At 59.3% G+C, this 23,120-nt stretch overlaps 4 annotated features.

The window, feature by feature from the left end:
* Positions 826-1,352: an enhancer, noted in NCBI's record as "H3K27ac-H3K4me1 hESC enhancer chr9:139473242-139473768 (GRCh37/hg19 assembly coordinates)". NCBI's record gives its function as "activates a minimal SCP1, AML or CMV promoter by ChIP-STARR-seq in naive H9 embryonic stem cells {active_cell/tissue: H9 hESC(naive)}" and the evidence as "EXISTENCE:reporter gene assay evidence [ECO:0000049][PMID:30033119]".
* Positions 6,959-7,610: an enhancer, noted in NCBI's record as "H3K27ac-H3K4me1 hESC enhancer chr9:139479375-139480026 (GRCh37/hg19 assembly coordinates)". NCBI's record gives its function as "activates a minimal SCP1, AML or CMV promoter by ChIP-STARR-seq in naive H9 embryonic stem cells {active_cell/tissue: H9 hESC(naive)}" and the evidence as "EXISTENCE:reporter gene assay evidence [ECO:0000049][PMID:30033119]".
* Positions 20,881-21,414: an enhancer, noted in NCBI's record as "H3K27ac-H3K4me1 hESC enhancer chr9:139493297-139493830 (GRCh37/hg19 assembly coordinates)". NCBI's record gives its function as "activates a minimal SCP1, AML or CMV promoter by ChIP-STARR-seq in primed H9 embryonic stem cells {active_cell/tissue: H9 hESC(primed)}" and the evidence as "EXISTENCE:reporter gene assay evidence [ECO:0000049][PMID:30033119]".
* Positions 22,483-23,014: an enhancer, noted in NCBI's record as "H3K4me1 hESC enhancer chr9:139494899-139495430 (GRCh37/hg19 assembly coordinates)". NCBI's record gives its function as "activates a minimal SCP1, AML or CMV promoter by ChIP-STARR-seq in naive H9 embryonic stem cells {active_cell/tissue: H9 hESC(naive)}" and the evidence as "EXISTENCE:reporter gene assay evidence [ECO:0000049][PMID:30033119]".

Raw genomic sequence — 23,120 nt, forward strand, 5'->3', positions numbered from 1 at the left:
AAAAAAAAAAAAAAAAAAAGACCCGTAAGTGTTCCCAGTCTTCCAGAAAATGCTGATTGCATCTAAAGAAGTAATCCCATAAACTGGAGGTAAATCTGCGCAAGAACGCGGGCTTTGGTTAAGATGGTTTTGGACAGGTGGAAACCAGCCAGCTCTGACGGTTCCAGCATGGGAGTGTGTGGCACGTAGGCATCCCTATCGTGACCATGCAGTCATCGCGCTGCGCTGCTGGCCTGGCACCTCCCGGATACCAAACACCCAGACAGCACCTCCTGCTGAAATCCCCACAAACACGGCCGGGGGACACTGAGGCCCAGAGGGTGGGGTGTGGGGGTGGCCTCGGGGCATGAGCCAGGCTCTGGGCCCCTCCCCACACCGGGGCTAGCTGGCTAGCTATTTCTCTTCCTGAGTGATGAGAACTTCGAGGCAGGGACGTTCTCTGAAAAGCCAGATACAACCTGAGCCCGCTGTGGTGCAGCAGTCGAGCCGCCGGGCGCCCCCACCGCTGTGGCCCAGGAGCCCTGCGCTGGGGAACCCTGATTTCCTGGCGGGAGGCTGTGTCTGTGGGACTCTGATTCACAATAGCGGGAAGATTCAAAGTGACAGGGTGAGGCTGTCAGTCCCAAGCCATGTCCCCTGAGAACACCATCAACCTGGAGTGTAAAATGTGACAAGGAAGAGGCTGGAAGGGGCCGCCCTCCCATCCCACTCCCCGGGGTCCGTGGGGCAGACCTTCACCTGCAAGTTTGCAGCCTGGACCAGGCAGCTTCTCAGGAAGCCCAGCCGGGAAGCTCTGTTGGGGAGCACTCTCCCCACCCAGCAACGTTCAGGGGCCTGGCCTGGGGCGGGGCCTGTAGTCAGAGGTCCCCGAGGCTGGGGGCCCACATGAGCCCAGCAGGGACTGCCATTCCCAAAGAAGTTATTTTTATGCCATAAGTGCTTGTGGGAAAGTGAGGGGGACCCATGGGAGGCAAGGGAAACATTGAGACCCCAGTCACGGGCAAGAAGGAAGGAACTGTTTGCTCCAATGAGGCTGCGCCCACCCCAGCCTGGGGAGGGACATGTGGGCGGGGCACCACAGGAGGAACAAGCTGGCCTTCTCCCACCTGGCTGAATGCCAGGGGTCAGGGGGAGGGTGGTGGCCCCACATCACAGGGCCCCTGGTCCTCCCAGGGGATGTGGCTGGGCGCTGGGGGAGGGGCTTGGAGCTCCACACTGGGGCCAGGCGCCTGGCCTCCGAAGGAGATGTGGGGTCTCTGGGACCCTCACCTCTGCCTTTAGCTCCGATTCAGGGCTCATTCTGGCCACTGAGCATGGCCGGGGATGGGGGCCCTGCCCCACACACTGGGTGCTGAAATGAGCCTGTTCAGACAGGACCCACGCAGTTTGTCTCCCTCAAAATCCAGGTGCCTCCTTCAGTTCCCAGCTGTGTTGAGCCACCTGGGGCCCAGGGCAGCCCTGGCAGGGCAGGGATGGTGTCTGCCCAGCTCTGCCTTCGGCCAGGCCCCCAGACCGTTTGAGGCTTCAGCCTCAAACCGGGACCTCCAGCAGGGTGAGCCTCCTGCAGGCAGTGCTCTTCCCCTGCGCTCACCTGCAGCCTCTGGGGCCCAACCCAAGACCCGCTTAGAAGGTAGCACATCCTGCTGGGAATACCCGCCCCTGCCTGGGCCTCCCCTCCCTCACCCCTACCTCTCCTTCACTCAGTCACTCGCTCGCTCACTCATTCACTCACTCCTTCACTCAATCACTCACTCACTCACTCATTCACTCACTCATTCACTCATTCACTCACTCATTCACTCCTTCGCTCATTCATTCACTCACTCATTTACTCACTCATTCATTCACTCACCCACTCATTCACTCACTTGCTCATTCACTCACTCACTCATTCCCTCACTCATTCTCTCTCACTCCCTGACTCATTCACTCACTCACTCATTCCCTCACTCACTCATTCCCTCACTCATTCCCTCACTCATTCTCTCACTCACTCCCTGACTCATTCACTCACTCACTCATTCACTCACTTATTCCCTCATTCATTCACTCATTCACTCACTCATTCACTCATTCACTCGTTCACTTACTCACTCACTCACTCGTTCACTCACTCATTCACTCACTCACTCACTCGTTCACTCATTCACTCACTCACTCACTCGTTCACTCACTCACTCACTCACTCGTTCACTCACTCACTCACTCATTCACTCACTCATTCACTCACTCACTCGTTCACTCACTCATTCACTCACTCACTCGTTCACTCACTCATTCACTCACTCACTCACTCGTTCACTCACTCACTCATTCCCTCACTCACTCGTTCACTCACTCACTTATTTGCTCACTCATTCACTCACTCACTCATTCACTCATTCCCTCATTCACTCACTCACTCACTCGTTCACTCACTCACTCATTCCCTCACTCACTCGTTCACTCACTCACTTATTCGCTCACTCATTCACTCACTCACTCATTCACTCATTCCCTCATTCATTCACTCATTCCCTCACTCACTCATTCACTCACTCACTCACTCATTCGCTCGTTCACTCACTCACTCATTTGCTCGTTCACTCACTCACTCATTTGCTCACTCACTCACTCATTCACTCACTCACTCATTCACTCACTCATTCACTCACTCACTCATTCACTCACTCATTCACTCACTCACTCATTCACTCACTCGTTCACTCATTCACTCACTCACTCACTCGTTCACTCACTCACTCACTCACTCGTTCACTCACTCACTCACTCATTCACTCACTCATTCACTCACTCACTCGTTCACTCACTCATTCACTCACTCACTCGTTCACTCACTCATTCACTCACTCACTCACTCGTTCACTCACTCACTCATTCCCTCACTCACTCGTTCACTCACTCACTTATTTGCTCACTCATTCACTCACTCACTCATTCACTCATTCCCTCATTCACTCACTCACTCACTCGTTCACTCACTCACTCATTCCCTCACTCACTCGTTCACTCACTCACTTATTCGCTCACTCATTCACTCACTCACTCATTCACTCATTCCCTCATTCATTCACTCATTCCCTCACTCACTCATTCACTCACTCACTCACTCATTCGCTCGTTCACTCACTCACTCATTTGCTCGTTCACTCACTCACTCATTTGCTCACTCACTCACTCATTCACTCACTCACTCATTCACTCACTCATTCACTCACTCACTCATTCACTCACTCATTCACTCACTCACTCATTCCCTCACTCACTCATTCCCTCACTCACTCATTCGCTCGTTCACTCACTCACTCATTTGCTCATTCACTCACTCACTCATTTGCTCACTCACTCATTCATTCACTCATTCCCTCATTCATTCACTCACTCATTCACTCACTCATTCACTCGTTCACTCACTCACTCACTCGTTCACTCACTCACTCATTCACTCATTCACTTGTTCACTCACTCACTCATTCACTCACTCATTCACTCACCCACTCATTCACTCACTCATTCACTCACTCATTCACTCACTCACTCATTCCCTCACTCACCCATTCACTCACTCACTCACTCACTCATTCACTCACTCACTCACTCATTCACTCACTCATTCCCTCATTCATTCACTCATTCACTCACTCACTCACTCATTCACTCACTCATTCACTCACTCATTCACTCACTCATTCACTCGCTTACTCACTCACTCGCTCACTTACTCATTCACTTGCTCACTCACTCGCTCACTTACTCGTTCACTCACTCACTCCCTCGCTCATTCACTCCCTCGCTCCCTCACTCACTCGCTAACTTACTCATTCACTCACTCACTCACTCCCTTGCTCATTCACTCCCTCACTCACCCACTCTCTCACTCTTCAATCACTCACTCATTCACGCATTCATTCACTCACTCATTCACTCACTCATTCGCTCACTCACTCATTCACTCACTCACTCATTCACTCGCTCATTCACTCACTCACTCATTCACTCGCTCATTCACTCACTCACTCATTTACTCACTCACTCATTCAGTCCTTCACTCACTCACTCAGTCATTCAGTCACTCACTCACTTATTCACTCATTCACTCATTCACTCACTCATTCACTCTTTCATTCACTCACTCATTCATTTGCTCACTCCTTCAGTCACTCACTCACCCACACACTCACCCACTCACTCACCCACTCATTCACTCAATCACTCATTCACTCGCTCATTGACTCTCAGTCAGTCACTCACTCATTCACTCACTCATTCATTCATTTGCTCACTCATTCATTCACTAACTCACCCACTCATTCACAAACTCATTCACTCATACACTCACTCATTCACTCTCACTTATTCAGTTGCTCACTCACCCACTCACTCATTCACTCACTCACTTGCTCATTTACTCACTGAATCACTCACCCATTCACTTACTCATTCAGTCACTCACTCATTTGCTCACTCATTCATTCACTCATTCGTCCATCCATTTATTCAACAGATGTTGTCTGAGCCCAGCTGTACACCAGACACAGAGATAAGGGAGGTAGGGAGACAGGAAAAAGGGAGGAAGGAGGGAGCCTCATGGCATAGGAACCAACTGACCGCCTCTGTATCCAGTGCCCTGTGGGCTGTTGCAGGCAGGAGGCACTGGATGTTCCTGGGGAAGGTTGCCACCCGTGTCACAGGTGGGGCCAGGCCTGCCGTGTGGCCCACTGGCCCCTGTGGCTGTTCTTCTGCACTTGAGTCTCTCCTGGTAGGCACCATGCACCGTGGAAGCCTGAAACGGGTCCTGGGACAGCAGGACAGGGCAGCGTGTGTTTCTGAGGCCTCTCAGCTCCCTGAGACATAGGTGGGCAAAGGGGACACTGCCAGCCACACCTTCCTGGCCTTGCCCTTAAGGTGCCTGGAGTCAGGTGCTTCGTCTCCAGAGAGACCCAGGGATGGGCCAAGCATGAGCTGCCCCTGACCCACTGGGCACCTGTCACTGAGGGAGGGCCACCCCCCACTATCCTGGCCCAGCTCAGGGAAGCCCACCTATGCCTCCTTGGGTTCCCAGCCACGCTGAGCCACCTGGGGCCTTCGATAGCCAAGACAGTGCTTGGCAGGGTGGGGCAGAGATGGAGTGTGTCTGCATCCACCTGTGCCTGCCTGTGCCCAACTGTGCCAACCTGTGTCTGCCTGTGCCCACCTGTACTCACCTGTGCCTACCCATGCCCATTGTGCCTGCCTAGGGCCTTATCTGATGGGCCTGCTGCATCCCTGGAGAGCCTCTCTCTGCCTCTCCTTGCTTGGGGGCACCCCTCCAGGCTGGCTAGCCGGCTCCAGCCCATCTCAGTGTGGCCTGAGATAAGGGCCCAGCTCAAAGCTGCTTTGTTCAGCCAACAAAAGGACATTTCTGCAGCACCCTGGGAGCTGGGCCATGGGCTGGCCCGGGCTGGCCCAGGCTGGGGAGGCCCGGGCCCAGTGCAGGCACCAGCTCGAGAAACCCTAGCCTGGCCCTGGTTGTGCCTCAGGGGCTGGGGACGCTCCCTCCATAGGCTTCCCAGGCCCTCAGGTCCACAGGCGGTGTCTCCTTTCTATGCCCGGCCTGGGTTGGGCCCTGCCTGTGGCCAGTGCCGCCCATTGCCCAGCCCCTGCCTTTGAGGCCTGGAGCCTTCACATCCATGGCAAGGAAGGCCACCCGTGCAGAGTGGAGCAGGTGCACAGCCAGGACCCTGAATACCCAGCCCTGCCCCCTGGCCTTTGCCCAGGGTGTCCCCTCTGCAGGTGCACTTTCCCCACAGCTTCCCCGGGAAACTGACTTGAGGCCACTGGGGGCTGGATGCAACCCCTGGGGAGGCAGGGGCAGTGCCGGGGCAGAGGGGCAGCCCCGGCTGAGGGCCCTGGCATTGGGAGTGGGTTGAAATGTGGCCCCCCAGGATGCATCCACCCGGAACCTCAGAGTGTGAACTTACTCTTTGCAGATGGAATTAAGGTTGGGATCTCGGGGTGAGACCTCCCTGGCCTCGGGTGGGTTCTAAACACAGTGTCAAGCGTCCTCATGCCAGCGGGAAAGGCACAGAGGCCAGGGACGCTGGAGTGAGGGAGGCAGAGGCCGTACTGGCCACCGGAGCTGGGAGGGGCGGGAAGGGCGGGAAGGGCCTCCCGAGGGAGCGCAGCCCTCCTGACACCTGCGTCCTAGGCTGTTGGCCTCCAGAAACGGGAGGGGATGCATTTCTGCTTTAAGCCACCCAGTCTGTGGTACTTCGTTACGGGAACTGGAGGACAGGCTTTCAAGGGAAAGTGACAAAAGCAGGGTGAAGGACCAAGGCCCGATGGCCTCAGGACTCCCACCCCCACAGCGTGGCCAGGGGCTTCCTTGGGGCCCGCCAAGTTCCTGGGACCCTCCCAGGCTAGTCAGGGCTCCCAGCAGGAGCCCCCTGCACCGAGACGGCCGTGTCCCCTGCTCCATGGGACCACAGCACCCACTGTCACACACACACAGCCACCGTCCCATCAGGCACCCACATCCCCGTGGGGCCCGGCTCAGCCAGGGGTTGCCAGCCTCCCAGGGTATCCTTGACAGCTGGGGGAGGCTGGCCTTGGCCCCATCTCTCTCTACCCCACTGCTGGGGGTCTGAGGCCCTCCCACTTCCTCTCCTCTTCCCCTAAGGTCCTGTCACAATGAGGAGCTCCCAGGGGCCGGCGCTGCAGCCACCCTCCCCGGGCAGGCTGGAGCCGGCCTTCCTTCCACCTCGCCCTCCGCTTCCCACGGGTAAGCTGCTCGCAAGGCAGCCGGCACGCTCGGGTCACGAGGTCAAGGGCAGCAGGAGCGACCAGGGAGTTGCAGTCACCCTGCCCCGTGCCACAACCTCGTTCACAGGAGGGAAATCAGGCAGGCCCAGAGACGGCAAGCAACCTGTATAAGATCACACAGCCAGCGCAGGGTGAGGCCTGGGCTCTGGGCACCTGACTCTCACGTGTCGGTTGCCTCTGCTCCTCCCTCCGTCAGTGCTGGCTGCCCCCTGAAGCTGTCATCCAGGGACCAGCAAACAGAAGTGTCTGAATGAGGCAACAGCATGGCCCCCGCCCCAGCAGTTAAAGGTTTGAGGCAGATCCCCATAGGACTTTGGGCCAACACCTCCAAATCTCTGAGCGGGACAGGGAGATGGGGCCAGTGGGTGGAGACGGGCAGCCCAGGGTGAGCACGTGGGCAGGGAAGGCCTCTCTGGGAGGAGCCGTGGGGAGGAGCAGGGAGCTTGCTGGGCAGTTTTCCACCTGGGCCCTGCATCCCTTTCCCGGCTACTGGCGCTCTCTCAGCTCAGCATGGATTGATTTCTTCATTCATTCTCTGCTCGAAGATCTGCTGAGCCTCTTGAGAGTCAGGCTCTGTCGGGGTGTAGCAGTGCCCTCCCTCCCCCAAGACCCTGCATGGGAGGGGCTCACCCAGCGAGGATGAGGCACCTACCCCTGCCGTGGCGAGGGCCCCCCAGGGTTCCAGCCAAGGCCAGTAGGATGGATGGGGTCACGTAAGCCACCAGAGGGGACAGCGAGGTGCCCCAGACAAACAGACCAGAACCCTGGGGTGGCTGGAGGGCGAGGGCAGGGGGCAGGCTCTTCCAGGCGGGGCTGCAGGAACTGAGCCCTGCAGTCAAGGGGAGGGCAGAGGGTGGCTGGAGCTGGGCTTCCCAAAGATGCTTTGGCTGCAGGGAGCGGCTAGGGTGGCGGCCCACAGAGCCAGCAGCTCTGGAGGCCATAGAGAGGGGCCAGGCCCCACCTGCACCCTACCTACCTGCTGAAGCATAAAGAGGGAGACCGGCCCCACACCCATCCCCATCCCTCACTGACACACAACACCTGCATGCGCCTGCAGGAGATACCCACAGCCGTTCATCCCGGGACGCAGCGGGCAGGGTCATCCTGGGACGCATCAGGCAGGGTCATCCCGGGATGCAGCGGGCAGGGTCATGAGCCCCCAGGGCCCTGTTTGCAAGACTCCCCACCTAGGCCAGGGGGATGAGGTGGGGAGCAAAGGCTCTTCCAGATGGCGGGAGGCCAGACAAGTCCCCAAGGTCCCCAGGGTGGCGGATGCCCAGTCCCTCTGTGTGGGGAGCAGGCTCGGCAGGGCACAGGTCCCTGGTCTGCTTGGAGAGCAAGGGTGTCCCTCTACATCCCAGGGGACAGCTGCTGCCTCCCTCCACACAGGGCCTGAGGATGGCTGTGGCAGCCGCAGGCTTCAGGGGCCAGGCCTGTACCACACTACATCATGGTCTTCTCTCGGGCTCTGCCTCCTCAGCTACAGCCTGTGGCAAATTCTCCTCTGAACACTCACCCAGGCAAAGTGGGCTAGGAAAAGGACAGGGGGTGGGGAGACGCACAGAAGGGGCGCCAGGGGCCACTGTCACACCCACAAAGCCGGCGTGGGGTTCCCGGGGAGAATGACATTCAGGTGTGCACGTGTGAGAACGTGTGCGTGTGCACCAGTGCTTGCTCACCTGAGTCCACACGCAGGTGTGCAAGTGTGTGCCCGTGTGTGTAGAGGGGTGCATGTGTGTGCCTCTACATGTGAGGGGTGCGTGTGTGTGCATGTGTGAGAGTGTGTACGTGTGTGTGCTTGCTCACGTGAGTGTCCACACACGGGTGCTCCCGTGTGCATGCGCGTGTGTGCTCGTGAGTGCTTGTTTGCATGTGTGTGCACTCACATACGTGTATGCCAGTGTGTGAACATATCTGTGCATGACCTCAATGGTGTAGATTGCACGTGTATGCTTGTGTGAGTTTGTGTATGTGTGTGCCTGTGTATGCACACTGTGTGAGCATGTGCATATGTGGGAACAAGTGTACACATGTATGCACACATGTATCCACACGTGTGTGTGCCTCTGTGTGTGCAGGGCAAGAGGGTGGGGACGCCATCGGGGTCTGTGGCCCAGGTGAGCCTCCCGGAGGGCGTGGCTCTGGTGAGTGGCGGTGCCTGGCAGAAGCTGGCCCTCCAGAAACCCTCCACAGTGACGATGGGTTGAGCAAGGCCTGCGGGGCTGAGCCTCCAGCCATCGCCAGGGTGCTGTGATGAGGCAGCCAGGGAGGCCGAGCGGGACCTGAGGGTGCAGCACTGGGCCGAAGCCAAGCTGGGACCCAAAAGGGGCTTGTGCTGCCCATCTGGGTGGGTCGGCCCCGGGCCCTCCTCAGTCTCCCCATCCAAGCTCATGTGTCCATAGCCCCGATCCCGTCTGCGCTGGGCTCTGCAGCTTCCTCTTCTTCCTCACTTCCTCCCGCACCCCCCTCCCCACGGGCAACAGTCCCAACATCTGGTTGGCGTTTCCAGCAAAGCCGGGGGCGGGGCCGGCAGGAGCCAGAAGAGCAGCTGCGGACAGTGTGGGAGTCTCCGGCGGGGCTGTGAGAACCAGCACTAGCCGGATGGTTGCGTTCCCAGTGCAGCCCCCGCCAGTGTGGTGGGGGGTGCTGGAGACCAGGGAGGAGAGGTGACTGGGTCACAGCCACTCCGGAGGCCGGGCGCCTCCCTCAGACACGGCTCTGCTGGAGGAGGGGGCTGTGGGCTGCCGAGCCTCCACCCCAGCCTCCAGGCAGCACAGGGCGAGGGCCTGCCCTTGCTCCTGGGCCCCCTGCCGTCATCTCACCCCAGCCTCAGTTCCCTCCTCTCTGAAATGGGCCCTGACGGTACCTGCCTCATGAGCTGTGGGGAGGACTCCAGGAGCTCAGGCTCGGAGGTCGCTGCCCAGTGTGGTAGGGGTGGCCTCACCCCTCGGGCCCACTCCCGGCTGTGTGGGTTCATCCATCCTACAGCAGCGAGGGCTGCGGAGGACACCGTGCAGGCCTGGAGTCAGACTGGGCTCCGAAGCCCGGGAGCAGGGTCTCAGGGTGTCAGCCCAAAAGCCAGGCTGGCCCACTGCCCAGCAGGTGGGCACCAAGGCGGGGGCCTGGTGCAGCATCTCCAGCCTCAGCAGGGTTAACTCCCAACCCCAACCCAGCCCTGGCTGCAAGGGGGGTGCTGGGCCAGTTGCGGGGGAGGCGGGGGCGGGGGCGGGGGGTACTCAGCTCCAGGAGCCTGCTCAGGATCAGGCCTCCCGCGCGGCTCAGCCCTTCCGGGTGAGGTCATGGGAAAAACCGCCTCAGACACCCCCAAGACAAGGACCCCCAAGGCTGCCTGCGGGTTAATAGTGGCTCCTCCCAGCTGCAGGGGCCGCTCAGCCAGACCCTGGCTCCTGAGCAGGTGTGCGCCCCCCAGGTCCCAGGTTGCACACCCCCATGGGGGCGGGGGAGGCAGTTTCCTGCTTCTCAGACTTCTCCCACCGGGGCTTCTTTCCGGCTGCGGCTTTGCTTTTGTTGTGTGTTTTTGTTCACTCCCCCTCCCCGCTGGAGTCAGTCTCAGGAAAGCTTCTGGGGCGATGGGAGCAGCGGAGGAGCCCAGGCCGGAAAGGGGACAATTAAACCCAGGGAAGAAAGGGTTAACCCTGACTCCGCCCCCCCCCCACCCCCATTCACCAGGAAATAAACAAGGAGCTTTGTTTCCATTCACCCTGAAAAATACAAGGATTTCCTCTCCCACTGGTCTGCACTGTCCCCCAAGGACCCCTCAAACCCAGAGGGGCAGGGCAGGAAGGGGACCCTGAGGTGGGCAGAGGTACTTGGGCTTCCGGAGACAGGGAGATGTTTGGAAGGTTCAGCTCAGCCTGGGTCATGGCAGGTGACCCAGAGCCACTGAGAGCAGGGTGAACCTGGGGCCTGTCCTCACCCACCCACTCACCCGTCTGTTCCTAGAGGCCCTGCTGTGTGTGGCTTGCAGAGGCCGGGCCGATGAGAGTCTGCCCCCAGGAGCGCACCACAGGCTAGAGAGGACGCTCCCACCCTCGCAGCCCCCATCAAAGCCATGGAGGGGAGAGAGCCACGCTGGGAGAAGTCGTGTGTGCCCCGGATGGTCTGGAAAGGCCTCTGGGGCCTTGAGGGACAGGAAGGGGGCCTGGGCATCCCCAGCAAAAGCGTATACAAGGCCTTGTGGCAGGCAGGCTCCCGGGCCTCCAAAACAGACAGGGGAAGTGGAGGCCACTGGATGGTGGGGCCCATCCCGAGGGAGCCCAGCTGCTGGGAGGCATTTTGCATCTTGATGTGATGACAGTGGGAAGTCCCAGGGCAGCTCTGAGCAGGGGATGCTGCCTGCACCTTAGAAACTGCAGCTGTGGGTTGGGCGTGGGGGTTGAAGGAGGAGAGAGGTGTGGGAACAGGGGTCCTGGCCTGGACATGCCACGTGGGTAGGGTGCCGTTTGCTGAGGCAGTGTGAGCGGAAGAGGCAGGGGTGGTGGGGAGGGGGTCTGGTTTGGGATGTGTCCAGTCTGAGAGGCGTATGGGAAAGTGGCTGACCCTAGACCTGGTAGGGGGGTGCAGGTGGGACCTGACGAGGCCTCCCTGAGAGGGCAGTGGAGGAGGCACGGTCTGAGGACCGGACCTGGCAGGGGCCTGAGTCTATCAGAGGCAAGGAAGGGGTGAGGCCGTGGTCAGCTCCCGGGGTGTGTGGGCTCCGCAAGGCCTGGTGGGAGCGAGGTGCTGGGTCCTTCTCTGTCAAGTGGGGACAGTGAGTGAGTGCACTGAGCCCGAGAGGTTGAGACACTACAGAAACAGCAGCGGCTCAAAGAGCGGAGGAAATCTGTGGATGCCCCCACCGTGCGATGTCCCCCCCGCCATGTGACACACCCACCATGCGATGCCCTCTCATCCACTGTGATCCCCCCACACTGTTCAGTGCTCCCGCCACCACGCGATGCCCTCTCATCCAGTGTGATCCCCCCACACTGTTCAGTGCTCCCCCCACCACGCGATGCCCCCCTCCACAGTGCGGTGCCCCCCTCCACAGTGCGATGCCCCCTACTGTGTCCCCTTGGACCTCTGCCATCTCCATCAAGGTGTCATCTGCTGGTGATACCTGTGCCCTCACCCACTTGGTTCTCGGGCCAGAGTTGGCACCATCTGGGGCAGCCAGGGGCCCTGCGAGGCTGCTCCAAGTTCTGCACCATTTCCCAACCCGGGGGACAGAGCCCTGACCCACGCTGGGAGCCGGCAGCACACCTGCTGGTTACCTCCCGTCCTCCATCCACCCCCATCCTGTGCCGCCTGCCTTCCCAAATAGATGGCATCAATATGCACCCTGGTCCTCAGGGGTGCTTCCAAGAGCCACACTAAGTCAGCTGGGGCCAGAAGGGACTCTGGGAGGGGGCTCGGGATGGCTGAAGGAGCCCCACTGCTGGGGCAGTGGAGGGTGACAGCCCTGGGGTGCAGTGCAGTGTTGGACCTCTGCCATGGCGACTGGGAAGGGCCGTGGGAGCCGGAGGCCCCTGCCACGCGGTTCTCCAGCATTCAGGAGTTATGGAGGCCACAGTGACCATGAGGACGTGGGAGCCGTGGCTACTGGCCAGTGTCACAGTTGGGGCCCGGCTGGTTTCAGCTGACCTCTCCTCTGGCCATGGGACACAGTAAGGGCATTGCAGTAAGGGAATTGCAGAGGAGGCTCCTGGAAGTCTCCCAGGCTGGGATCAGGGCTCTGACCGAGAAGGAGTGGGCCTGAGTGCTGGCCTGGGCCACCTGGGTGTGTCTGTTTGAGAGGATGACCTCCCAGAAGTGCCTGCTCCTCCTCCATCATCTCTGCCTCCCCATAGAGTCCCGAGGACACCCCTTAGTGGAAGGCGTCAGGAAAGCTGCCGTCAGCTGCAGCGAGAGAAAAATCCTTCACAGTGTTCTAGACGTGGCCGGCTCTCAGATCCAGAGCCCGCAACTGGAGGGGCGGCCAGGTGCCCTTGAGGAAGGACCCTACAACACAAAAGCACACATGCACAGTTCCCCCACTGCATCCCCAGAGGGACCACTGGCCATTTACTAGAGGAACTGGGCGCTGGAGAAAGGGCCCACCCACTCCATCAGTGCTGTCTGATGTCCAGCCTGGCTGACGCCAGTATCAGGAGACCACAGTGACCTCATGGCATGGCCCCTGTTAAGGCGGGAAAGGATGGACACTGGGTGATAAATGGGGCCCTGGGCCAGCTCCATCCAGTGGGCCCCTAGGTCCCTGGGCCACTCTGTGGCCACTCCCCTTGGCCTGAGTGTGTGGTTGGAGGAAGGGCTGGATGTGGCAGCTGGCAAAGCCCTTCTGTCACTTCCTTCTGCGGCGTAAGAGCCTGGATGGCTGAAAAAACCAAGTTGAAACTCCCAAAACCATGACTCCCCATGCGTACACACCAAGATGGGAAACCCAAAGCAGATGCCTTCTGAGATGGCATGGATTCGTGCCACCCAGAAAGCCTTGACAAATACACACACAGTGGTCCCAACCTATTCTCATCGAGTTCAGCAGTCCGGCCCCTGCGGAGGTCAGACAGACCATGGCAGGTGGGTGACGGTCAACCTAACAAGCTGGGAGTCCTGGCCACAGCCACTCTGCCAGAGGTGATGTCTGGACTGGGGAACAGGCCAACACAAGCTCGAGCACCCGGCCTGGGGCTCCCTGGAGGCAAGTCTGGAGACCGCACGGATCCCAGTCCCTGTTGGGGTGGAAGGAGCATCATAAGCAGTCTGCACGGGCATGGGAAGGACAGTAGTGCACGTGCACGACCCCGCCCAGGGCGGTGACTATGTTCCTGCTCTCCACACAGCCCTGAGACTCGCAGGCCATCCAGACGTTTCTTGGAACATCGTGAGAGCTCAATGCACAAAGGCTATGGAGTTAATCTTCTGGGGAAGCAGGAGTCGCATTCTGATGCTTTGTGCTTGTGTGCCAGAGGACAGACGGTAAACCCACCGAGATTCTGGGGCTACCATATCCGCTTTCAGGGGTTCAGTGGTCTGGGATGTGATGGCAGGGACTAATGCACCCTTGGAGACTGCAAGGAGACAGGTGGTCTCCTCCACATAAAGAACAAGTTATTCAGCCTGGGCAACACACTCAGACCCATCTCCTGCCTGTGGTCCCAGCTGCTTGGGAGGCTGAGGCAGGAGGATCCCTTGGGCCCAGGAGGTAGAGGCTACAGTGAGCTGTGGTCACACCATTGCATGCATTCTGGGCGGCAGAGTGAGACCGCATCTGTAACAAAGAACGAGTGATTGCTCCTCACACCTACACCAAGGAAGCAGTGCAATGCTTGGCTGTCTCTTTGGGTTCAACAGGCAGCTTCGGCAATGCTCTGCCCATTTGTTAGATGACCCAGAAGACGATCACTTTCGAGTGGGGCCCAGAACAACAGAGGGCCCTGCATCAAGCTCAGACAGTGGTGTCAAGACCCCGAGCCACTGGAGGCGTCCATGCAGATCCAGACACTTGGAGCCCCCCAGACAGCTGCAGCCTAGGGGGCCTCCAGGATTCCAGGGCAAGTTCATGGCGTCTGCTAGCAGAGAGGCCCCCTCCAGAGCCTCAGAATGTGACCTTACCAGGAAATAGAGGTTTGGAAAATGGAATTAAAGATCTCGAGATGAGACTGTCCTGCATGTAGGGTGAGCCTTTAACCAAAGGACTGGTGTCTTTATAAGAAGAGGAGAGGACGCAGAGACACAGGGGAGAAGCCACATAAAAACGGAGGCAGAGACTGGAGCCAGGCGCCCACAAGCCAGGAATGCCTGCAGCATCAGAAGCTGGAGGAGGCAGAAAGGACCCTCCCCTGGAGCCTCTGGAGGGAGCGTGGCCCTGGGACACCCGGGTCTCTGACTTCTGGCCTCCAGAGCGGGGAGAGCACATTTTGGGTGCTTTATGCCCCCCAATCTGTGGCCCTTCGTTACAGCAGCCCCCAGACACGGAGAGCATCTGACCTTGGGTCCTGGAATGACCCTGTCAGAGCCACCCGCATCCGTCGCTGGAATGACCGTGTCCGGGCTGCCAGCGTCTGTCACTAAGTCATGAGTCCAGGCAAGAGTGTGCTGGGTGTGGGTGACCCTGGGCAGCCCTTAACCAGCGACAGGCCCGAGCCAGCCTCAGAGCTGCTGGGCCAGCTCACCTTGCCTGCCTGGCTACCCCATCTGTAGCGAGGCTTCTTGGGAGAAGGATGGGGGTGGGACCATGGGAGGGAACACATGGAGTGCTTGGCAGCGTAGACAGTCCCAGCTCCACCTCCACCACTGAGGCCCATGGGGTGAGGCTCCAGCCCCCGGTTTGGGTTGCAGGGGAGCGTATGGCACCCTTTAGCGGCCACCTTCTCCTCCTCTCTCATCGATCCCGTCCCCACTCCTCCTGCCCCTCCCCATGAGCTGCGGTCCCAGGGCTGCCTCTGGAAAACCCCAGTGAAGACCCCAGCCGCACCTGCCTCTGGAGAATCCCAGGCTCCAGCCAGCCTCGCTCCCTCATCCTTGAATCCTTGGCTTTGTCCTCACTGTCTCTGACAGCCTCTTCTCTTTGGTCCCCAGCCCCAGTATACCCTGGCTCTCAGTCTCTTAACCTTCTGTTCCCTTGTCTCTGGCTTCCACAGGACCATGAGCCCTGTAGAGGTAGGGGTTCATCTGTCCCACCATCACAGCCTGGGGTCCGTCTGTCCTGACATGGCATCCTGGGGTCCGTCTGTCCTGACGTCGCACCCGGGGGTCCGTCTGTCCTGACGTCGCATCCTGGGGTCCGTCTGTCCTGACGTCGCATCCTGGGGTCCGTCTGTCCTGACGTCGCATCCTGGGGTCCGTCTGTCCTGATGTCGCATCCTGGGGTCCGTCTGTCCTGATGTCTCATCCTGGAGCCCAGTGCAGAGCTGGCAACCAGTGGGTCCCCAGGGAGGGTTTGTTGAATGAATGGCCGACCTCGGATGTTGAATGAATGACACTGAACCCTGCCCCCAGAGGAAATGAGGCCCCAACTGTGGATGGACAAAGAAGCTTAGAGGAACACAGGCAAGAAAATTAAAAAATAAATTTGCACTAAACTTCTCTGCATCATAGGACACTGTCAAGAGTGAAAAGGCAACCCAAGAATGGGAGGACACACTTGGAAGTTATATGTCGGGTAAGAGGTTCATATCCAGAATATATTTTAAAAACTCCCACAACTCCACAAGAAGAAAACCAAACAACCCAATTAAAAACAGGTGAAAGACTGCAATAGACATTTCTCCAGAGAAGATACACAAGTGGCCGCTAAGCCCATGAAAAGATGCTTGCCATCATTAGTTAGCAGGGAGATACAAATCAAGAGACACCACTTTACACCCGTTATCATAGTATTATTTTAAAAAACAGAAAGTAAGTGTTGGTGCAGAGGTGGAGAAATCAGGACACCGTGCGGGAACGTGAAACCGTGCAGCTCCTGGAAAACCATTTGGCGGTTCCCCAAAAACTTAAACGTAGAATCACCACGTGATCCCACAATTCTGACTTTCAGTTTATGCCCAAGAAGATTGAAAACAGGAACTTCAACAGGTATTTGTTGGGATTTAACTAGCCCCACTGAGGGACACTGAGCTTGCCCCCAGTGTCACGGGGCAGATGACGATGCTGTGGACTCCCTGTTGGCACCTTGGCCCCACCATGATCCCTCCAAGGCCAGCCCTCAGCAGCAGCGTCCCTGGGCGTCTTTAAGTGTCAACAGCTCCTACCGAATGGCCCTGCACAAACTCAGTCCAAGTGAAAGCGGGGACTCAGACTCAAACTTGCACACCCATGTTCATGGCAGCATCAGTCCCAGCAGCCAAAGGTGGATGCAGCAGAGCATCCGGGGACGAGCGATGGAGAAACAAAATGCCACCCGTTACGCAGTGGAATACTACGCAGCCATGAAAAGGAAGGAAATTCTGACCCACGCTAAAACCGGATGAGCCTTGAGGACATTATGAGAAATGAAATGAGTCAGCCACGAAAGAACGTGTCCTATGGTTCCACTCATGGACGGTCCCCAGTATTGTCAGGTTCATAGAGACAGGAAGTAGAAAGGTGGGTGCCAGGCTGGGGAGGGGACGGGAAGTGAGTGTTTCATGGGGACAGAGTTCACTTTGGGAAGATGGAGAGTTCTGGAGATGGAGGGTGGTGAAGGTCACACAATTCGAATGTGCCTAGTGCCACTGAACTGTTCACTTAAATAGTGAAGGTGGTCAATTTTATGTTACGTCTGTTTTACCACAATTTAAAGAAGAACAAGAAGGAGGAGGAGGAGGAGAAAGGAGGAGAAGGAGGAGAAAGAGAAGGAGAGGAGGAGGAGGAAGAGGAAGAAGGAGGAGGAGGAAGAGGAAGAAGGAGAAGGAGAAGAAGAAGAAGAAGAAGCAGCTGCTGCTCATGGGGCATTGCAGAGGCATTTCGGGGAGTTTGGATGCCAGCAGAGATGGGCAGGGTGACTCTCTGAGCTGGCATTCTGCTGCCTGCCTCCTGCAAAAGTGACTTCAGCCTCCACTGGGAGGCCCTTGCTGTGGGAATGAAGCAGAGGCGATTCAGCACCGAGTGCCACCCTTTATGGGAGCAAGTTGAGAATGGGGTGCCAGGGTGCGCCAGGGCGAGGGGGAGTCAGGAGCCCCTCGCCCAGCAGCCCCTGGAGGAATGCACCCTAGTCTGGCACAGCCGTCTGCAGGCGCGGGGGGCTCGTGGATGATGACGTGATAGTCCACTGATGTAACCCCTAATTAGGCCCCAAAGAGGATGGCAGGAAAGGCCTCTCAGATAAGGCCGATTCGGTGGAGGGACAGAGGTCCCCCGAGGGGAAGCTGGGGGGAGTATCAGCTGCAAAGTCAAACAGACCATGAGTTCTCACCAGTGGGCATGGCAGGACCCTCAGCCTCCTCATCTGTGCAATGGGACAATGGTAGCGCCCGCCCACAGGAGTCACGCTGCGAAATCATGCTCACAGCACTCGGTAAACCATGGGAGAGGGCCTCGGAGAAGATCCAGCGTGGCGATGAAACGTAAGTTAAAGGAATGTGTTTAGTGGTCCGTTCGCGATGTCTTGTTAGCCTCTCGTGATGTATTGTTGGCAGCTCGTGATGTGTTGTTAGCCGCTTGTGATGTATTGTTCGATGAAAAAAGCAGTTTGCAAAGAATGATTAAATGACATTCCCGTGAGCTTCCCTGATTCCTACCCGGCATTCCAAAGGGTGAGGCAGCACCTCGGCCAGCTCACCTTCAACAGCACCCCTGGAATGGGCCCAGAGCCAGGCCCTAAGCCCCCGATACTTGCTTGGGGGGGCTGAATGAAGGGGATGAATGAATGAATCAATGAAGACTGGCCCCAGTTTTGTGAACAAGATGAAAAAACACACTGGGGAGATGCTCCCCCTGATACCAACAGGCTGGAATTACTGGCGATTTTTTATCTTCCTTTTTGTGTGACATTCTATTTTGCTTTTGTGTTTTTTGTTTGTTTGGGTTTTTTTTTTTTTTTTTTTTTCATTTCCAAAGTGCTGCAGGGAATGTGTGGGACTTTTGCATTCACATAAAAGGTCACCATTGGTGAATGTTTAATAGCCCTTGTCGAGGTGGGTGTAGGTGCAGGATTCACACGCCCTGCTCCCTGGCCCTTCTGCAAGGCTGGATGGGAACAGGGAAATTCTTAACCCAAAGGACATTGGGCACCAGAGGCCCCAGTGGGCACAGGTGGCAAGGCCCAGCGTGGGCCATGTCCCTCCCCTCCTTCCACACCCTACCCTCGGCACACGGCATTTTGCAAGGGATGAGAAGGAAAAAGAAAGGTCCTCCCGGCTGCCGTGTGCGGGCCCTGGGTAACAAAAGTGATTGTGTACTTGAGGAAAGGAGACGGTTATGAGAAACACTCCCCGTTACAGCATTTTACGTTCGCAGGGAAAATGCCAGGCCTTGCTGGGTGGGACCAGCCGGGCTTGCACAAAAGCCCCTTTGTTCACCCCCAGCGCCCGACAACGGCACAGAGAGAAATTATCTTTTCAGCAAAAGATTAAGCGGGCTTCCAAGCCCAGGCTGGCTCATTTCCATGCGGCTGAGGGGAGACCCCTCTCTGGGGCCGCCCATCCTGGTGCCCTCTCCTGCCCCAGGTCCCAGTGGGCCCCCAGGAGGAGGCGGCAGCAGCTGGGGTGGAGGAGGGGACTGGAGTGGACAGGGCGCCGCTCGGCACAGGGGCACACTGGGCACAGCCCTGGCGATAGGATGCCATTGCCCCAAGTTACAGTTGAGGAAGTGGAGGCAGGCAGGCTGCTGCCCAGGCCTCTGCAGAAGGCTCGATCTGGCATCCCTGGGCAGGACAGGCCCTCCCTGCCTTGGGAGAGGGATGTTATCAGTGGGAGGGGCTCTGGCCACCCAGCCTGGCATCAGGGGATGTCGGTGTGTTTGAGTATTAACCCCCAGCGGGGCTGAAAAACCAGCCTGCCGCTCTCACCTGCCCACCTGGCCCCAGCCCAGCCTGGCACCCGAAACTCCTGGTTTCAGTCTTCACTGTGTCCGAGGCTGGGGGCTCCTCCTTCTGCCAGCAAACCCCAGCCCCTGCCCCCATCATCGCTCCTGAGAAAGCCCCTCCCACTCCTGAGGAAGGGGTGCCTGGCCGGGCCCCACTGGGTGGGGCAGGCCTTGCGGGGCTGGGGCACTGGAGTCACTAGGAGCAGGGCGAGTCTGGACAGGTCAGGGCCACCCTCGAGTCTCCAGGCTGGTGCCAGTGGGGCCTCCGCAGCCCACATGGGAGCAAGAGCAAGGTCTGCCTGTGGAGGAACCTCTGGCCACTCTGTGGAGGGCCCTGCACTGGGAAACTGAGGCCATCTGCATCTTTACAAGACGGAGGAGACAGGGAGGGTGGGGCCTAGAGCCAAGGAGGGTGGGGCTCAGAGGGCAAGGCTGTCCCAGGGGGAGGGAAGGGTGGAGGGCCCAGGTGGCAGGAGATTGGGGTCCAAAATGCCCCAGATGTGGGGGGCTGGGCTGGGCTGCACCCACCAGGACTTCCTTGGGTCACCTGGCACCTCCTCTGTCCTACGTTACCCACCCACTAGCCTCACCTCCAGGCCCAGAAACTCCACAGCAGAACTGCAGCCGTGGGAGCTGGGGAAGCCCCTGAGTGCGGGGTCCAGCTGCTGCCCCATTGACAGGGGAAAGTCAAGGCTGGGTGGGGTGGGGGGGATGGGCAGGAGCAAAGGCGGCTCCCATTGGCCACCTCCAGTCTGAACCCAGCAGCTAGCACAGTGGAGAAGGCCCCAGAAGCTGCCCTCCCTCTCCACCCAGCTTCCTGCTGCTAAAAAAATGGACACAGGCCTGTCTCTGACACTTCAGTGACCACCAGGCGGTGCATGGCCTGGCCCTCGAGCCAGTCCAGGCTACTGCCTGCAGAGCCCGGAGTAGGGCTCACATGCCCACATGGGCCAGCGATGGGCCCGCCATTGCGCTGGGGGCCCAGGGCAGAGACGGCCCAGCAGGTGATGTGAAGGCCATGAGCGTGTGGGACACATGGGTGCCCAGGGGAACACCAGGAGCACCTGGGGCAGTGTGGGCATGAGGGCAGCAGGGCAGTGTGGGCAGGAGCACCTGGGGGAGTGTGGGCAGGAGGGCAGCAGGGCAGTGTGGGCAGGAGCGCCTGGGGCAGTGTGGGCATGAGGGCAGCAGGGCAGTGTGGGCAGGAGCACCTGGGGGAGTGTGGGCATGAGGGCAGCAGGGCAGTGTGGGCAGGAGCACCTGGGGGAGTGTGGGCATGAGGGCAGCAGGGCAGTGTGGGCAGGAGCGCCTGGGGCAGTGTGGGCATGAGGGCAGCAGGGCAGTGTGGGCATGAGGGCAGCAGGGCAGTGTGGGCAGGAGCACCTGGGGGAGTGTGGGCAGGAGGGCAGCAGGGCAGTGTGGGCAGGAGCGCCTGGGGCAGTGTGGGCAGGAGGGCAGCAGGGCAGTGTGGGCAGGAGCACCTGGGGCAGTGTGGGCAGGAGGGCAGCAGGGCAGTGTGGGCAGGAGCGCCCGGGGCAGTGTGGGCAGGAGCGCCCGGGGCAGTGTGGGCAGCGGGGCAGCTGGGGCCATCCCTGGGCCTGTTGGGCTGCTCAGCCCCCTCCCAGTCCCCAGGCCCTCACTGCCTTTGGCCACTGTAGGTTTGCGTGGCCACTGGCAATCTGGGCCCAGCCTCCTGGCGGGAGTGCCTGATGAAGAGCGGGGGCCACCACCCCTTCCCGTCCCAGCCAGAGGCCCCCAGCCCTCCTCACAAGACCCCCAGGAGTGTCCCGGGCCTGCCCTCATGTTGGGGTGGGGCTCACAAGGCTTAGCGGCCAGCCAGGCCGCAGGGCAGCATTCCTGGAAGCCCGGTGGAGTCGCCCGGCTGAGAGGAAAAGCCCAGTCTCTGTCCCCGCCTGCACCAGGTAGGACCTGTGCCTGAGCCCAGGGCGTGGTAGGATCCTCTCTCCCTGTGGTTGCAGTACCCACGGAGCTCCTCAGCACCACCCCGTCTTCATCGCCTCCTTTCAGGGCGTCTTCATCGCCTCCTTTCAGGGAGGCACCCTCCCTGCCTCCCCTTCACGCTGATGCCAGCAGGAGCCCTGGGAGACCCACAGGGGAGGTCCCAGGAGGAAGGGCTCCCCTAGGACCTCAGGCTTCCCAGAGCCCTAGGTCCAGCCCAGGGGACCCCAGAGACTCACCGGGTGGCCTCAGGACATGCTGACGGGGGTGCAGGGCCTCCCAGGCATGACGGGCCGTTCCCGTGCCCTCCCTTGTGGCCTCTCCCCTCCCCTTGTCCCCTTGTCTCCCGTGGGGTCTGCTGGGCTGAAGGGGTAGGCTCCCAGCGTCACCATCAATGTTGGTGGGAGTGGAATTGTGCTTGAAGGAGCCCCCACCCCAACTCTGCTCCTGTACCAGGATCCTGTGGGAAGCCCCAAGAGGGGGGCAGGAGTCAGAGGTGGCCTGGGGTCATGGCCCTGCCCCCGCGTGACCCCTCCTCTGGCACTTAGCCTCCTGAGACCCACGGCTGGGCAGGGAGGGATTCAGCAGACAGTGGGGTCTGGCCCCCAGAGCAGGAGGTGGGGAGGGAGAGCCAGGTGGCCCTGGAAGGCAGGCGGGTGCCCAAGGCCTGGGAAGCCGGAGGGGAGTGGGTAGTGGGGAGGGGCTCTGGGGCTCAGCATCCGCCGCCCCCCTCTTGCCAACCACCAACTGGCGGGCCCGGGAACAGGGGCTGTGCTATCGGCTGTTGTCTCAGGCCCTGCTCTTTGGTGTGCAGAGGGTGGGGGCTGCCTCCCAGGGCCCCATTCAGCCGCCTTCACTCTGGCAGGGGGGCCAGCCGCAGTAACACAAAGAAAACTTTGTCCCGGCAGCCGGTCCCCAGGGCCTCCCGTCCATGTGCAGAGCAGGACTCCGGGCCAGCGGCACAGGGCTGTGCCATTGAGGCAGCTCAGGGTCTCCCAGCCTCCCAGCCTCTGTCTGCTCTGAGAGCATGCAAAGCCCCCCGAGGGCGAACAGGAAGCCTCAGAGCCGCAGAGCACAGGGGCCTCTGGCTGGGGGCAGGGAGGGCCGGGGGCTCTCGTCCTGCCACTAATTCCAGCTCCCTGCTCTCTGCTCACACAGGGGCGTGTGTGGCCTGTGCTTCTGCCAGGGAAGGAAAAAGCTTTCTCAGGGCCTCGGGCTGGCTGCGGGCTCAGGTGGTGGTGGAGGGAACAGCCATGGGGCCCTGCCGGGTCCGGAGCTCCGGGCCTGGAGCACCCAGCCAGGTGGGGCTGTGTGTGTAAAATGCAGCAGCAACCCGTGTTGGTGGGTAGGCATCACACCTTGGTGTGTGTGCATGTGCGAGAGAGGGCATCAGCACACGCCTGCGTGCACTGAGGAGTGTGTGCACTAAGGAGTGTGTGCACTGAGGAGTTGTGCACTGAGGAGGAGTGTGTGCACTGGGGAGTGTGTGCACCGAGGAGGAGTGTGTGCACTGAGGAGTGTATGCACTGAGGAGTACGTGCACTGAGGAATGTGTGCACTAAGGAGTGTGTGCACCAAGGAATGTGTGCACTGAGGAGTGTGTGCACCGAGGAGTGCGTGTACTGAGGAGTGTGTGCACTGAGGAACCAAGGAGTGTGTGCACTGAGTGTGTGCACTGGGGAGAAGTGTGTGCACTGAGGAGGAGTGTGTGCACTGAGAAGTGTGTGCACTGAGGAACCAAGGAGTGTATGCACTGAGGAGTGTGTGCACCAAGGAGGAGTGTGCACATTGAGGAGTGTGTGCACCGAGGAGTGCGTGCACTAAGGAGTTTGTGCACTGAGAAGTGGGTGCACTGAGGA

Source organism: Homo sapiens, chromosome 9, assembly GCF_000001405.40.
Source record: "Homo sapiens chromosome 9, GRCh38.p14 Primary Assembly".
Classification (NCBI taxonomy): Eukaryota; Metazoa; Chordata; class Mammalia; order Primates; family Hominidae; genus Homo; species Homo sapiens.